Source organism: Homo sapiens, chromosome 14, assembly GCF_000001405.40.
Source record: "Homo sapiens chromosome 14, GRCh38.p14 Primary Assembly".
In the NCBI taxonomy this organism is placed as follows: Eukaryota; Metazoa; Chordata; class Mammalia; order Primates; family Hominidae; genus Homo; species Homo sapiens.
Window position 1 is genome coordinate 66,378,161 of NC_000014.9, and position 2,547 is coordinate 66,380,707.

Consider the following 2,547-nt stretch of genomic DNA (forward strand, 5'->3'; position numbering starts at 1 on the left):
GTGAGTGTAAGAGCCCTGGGATTTGAACTCAGGTAGTTGAAGCCCACACAGTTAACTATCTGCAAACCACGTTCCACAGGTATTCCCACTCACAGCATGTGAGTTGCCATTGTGGTAATCAATGGTCTATGCTGGCCCTAGAAAGCAGCAGTCTCGGCTGGGTGCTGTGGCTCATGCCTGTAATCCCAGCACTTTGGGAGGCCGAGGTGGGTGGATCATCCTGAGGTCAAGAGTTTGAGACCAGCCTGGCCAACATGGTGAAACCCCGTCTCTACTAAAAATACAAAAATTAGGCTGGTGTGGTGGTGGGTGCCTGTAATCCCAATTACTCGGGAGGCTAAGGCAGGAGAATTGTTTGAACCTGTGAGGCGGAAGTTGCAGTGAGCCGAGATCGCACCACTACACTCCAGCCTGGGCAACAGAGCGAGACTCCATCTCACAAAAAAGAGAAAGCAGCAGTCTTTTTAATTGTCAGTGTCACTGGGAAGAGTGATGAATAATGAATGAATGAAAAAAAGAGTTTCTCTTAACAGGTGGCCTTTGACATCTTTGGGTCTCCCGCAGTAATAGAAAGCATCCGCAAGTAGGAGAGGCATATGGACAGTGCTTGTTGCTTAGCCTTAGGTTGGGTGACAATGTCTTCCAGAAGGTACCATGAAGTCACACCCTCACTTTCACCCCCCAACTCTGCATGTCCCTCTTGCAAAGGGGGCCAAGCAAGAATCCACCTCTGATTAGATCATCACCTTCTGTGAAAGGACTCCATTTCCTAACATAGAGTAGACTTATCTCTAAACTGTGAAAACCCTTCTCAGACCACAACAAAGTTTCCATTATTGGTTGTCTTAGAAAACAAACTTGTCAAGGCCTAAGCATATGGCAATAAGAAAATGGATATGTATTTTTCTATTAACAGGAGTCAGAATGCAGTTGTATATAGGAATTGGAATGTGTTAGCTGCTAGGAGAGAGAAGCCATTGATTCCTGCAGCAGTGTGACTAATTAGGTTTTCTTTTGTGAAGGAATTAGTTTGTATTGATTCATTTATGTCTGATGTAACTCAGCAGTTCTCCCCCTGCCAGGGAAGCCTGCCCAGACTGGTAAGTGATAAGAAGCTGGCAGAGCAGCTCAGCCGGTTCAGTGGGGCTATGCGAACTTCTTGGCTGAGTAAGTGTGCAGGGCCAGGATGACCACATCACCCTGACTGGTCTCCTTTCCCTGATCAAACATAGGCCAACCATATGAACCATCTCTGCTGGCTGGATACAGAAAGGGCTTCATCATCCCAGTGACCACCACCCTACCCTTGGGGCAGTTATGATTTCACATAAGTAAGGATCCATATTGATTAAGATTCTATGGTTGCAAACAACAGACTCTGTCTCTAGCTAATTTGAACAATAAAAAGTACATTTTGGGAAGGACACAGGGCAGTTCACAAATATTAAAGAAAAGTTGAACTTTAGACCTTCCAGCAGCCAGAAATAAGGGCAGCTTGGGCAGTCTCAATAGCAGAACTACTGGACAGTCAGTTCAGGTTACTCCTCCAAACACTCTCCATCCTTGGGTCAATCTGCTTGAGATTTAAATTCCTGAAGAGAGTATCTGATTGCCCTTGGGGGGTGTGTTTGTGTGTGTGTGTGTGCACGTGCACACGTGCACGTGTGTATGCATCAAGAAAGGACATAATAATTCAATAGGAAGTCTCACCAAGAGTTGCTTGCAATGTGGGAAGAGTAGTTGTTACTAGCAGGAGGGAAGGATTCAAGGCAGACAAAAACAGTAGACATTCACTATAGAGTCCCAAACCAAGAGTTCTACAACAGGAGTAGGAGGGCAGAGCGTGTTCCTTTCCAGGAGCTACACCTGGGAAGTTCCTGGGTTCTGGAGGCTATTCAACACTGGAAGAGAATCCATGTGAGCAAATGAGTACTCAGGAATGGGAGAGACTCGGAAATCAGACACACAGAGTAGAATTGGAAGACAAAAAGACTGGACAGCAAGACAAAATTTCACCTTAGCCAGAATCATCTTAAATATTTCTTGCTGTTGCAGCAGCCTATCCACAACCTGATTCAGCCAGCCTTGTAACTCCAGAGAAAGAGAAAGTGGGATGTGAGCTGTGTAGGAGTTAGATAATGGAAAATAATAGCAAGTCTTGCCAATGACAAGAAAGAGAAAGCTAAAACAATTAGCTCTGCCACTGGAGAGCAGGTGGGCCCATGGCCAAACAGGGCAGGAAGTATCCTTGTGAGCCTCTGTTTGTGCACCAGTGCATGTGCACACAGCACACACACACACACACGTGCCACCCTGGGGTAACACCAGAGAATAGATGCTATTATCTTCAGTTTCTCCCTACCTCATTTCAAGGATTTAGTCCTTGACTTTCAAATTCTCCTCCCCCACAATTCTTTTAAACATTCACGAACTGATTCACTTGTATTGTGCTTTTGCATTTTGAGACCTATTATCTTTTGTTCCAACTGTGTAATAAGTTTTTTTGCCAAAACACAGTGAAAGGAGCATTTCATTTGTTGTCAGGAG

The 2,547-nt window shown here is 45.1% G+C and overlaps 3 annotated features.

The window, feature by feature from the left end:
- Positions 508 to 677: an enhancer, noted in NCBI's record as "experimental_35463 CRE fragment used in MPRA reporter constructs". NCBI's record gives its function as "activates a minimal promoter by MPRAs in K562 erythroleukemia cells, with activity observed for both the introgressed and non-introgressed 14:66845471 variant alleles {active_cell/tissue: K562}" and the evidence as "EXISTENCE:reporter gene assay evidence [ECO:0000049][PMID:34662402]".
- Positions 508 to 686: a biological region, named in NCBI's record as "Neanderthal introgressed variant-containing enhancers experimental_35463 and experimental_35465".
- Positions 517 to 686: an enhancer, noted in NCBI's record as "experimental_35465 CRE fragment used in MPRA reporter constructs". NCBI's record gives its function as "activates a minimal promoter by MPRAs in K562 erythroleukemia cells, with activity observed for both the introgressed and non-introgressed 14:66845480 variant alleles {active_cell/tissue: K562}" and the evidence as "EXISTENCE:reporter gene assay evidence [ECO:0000049][PMID:34662402]".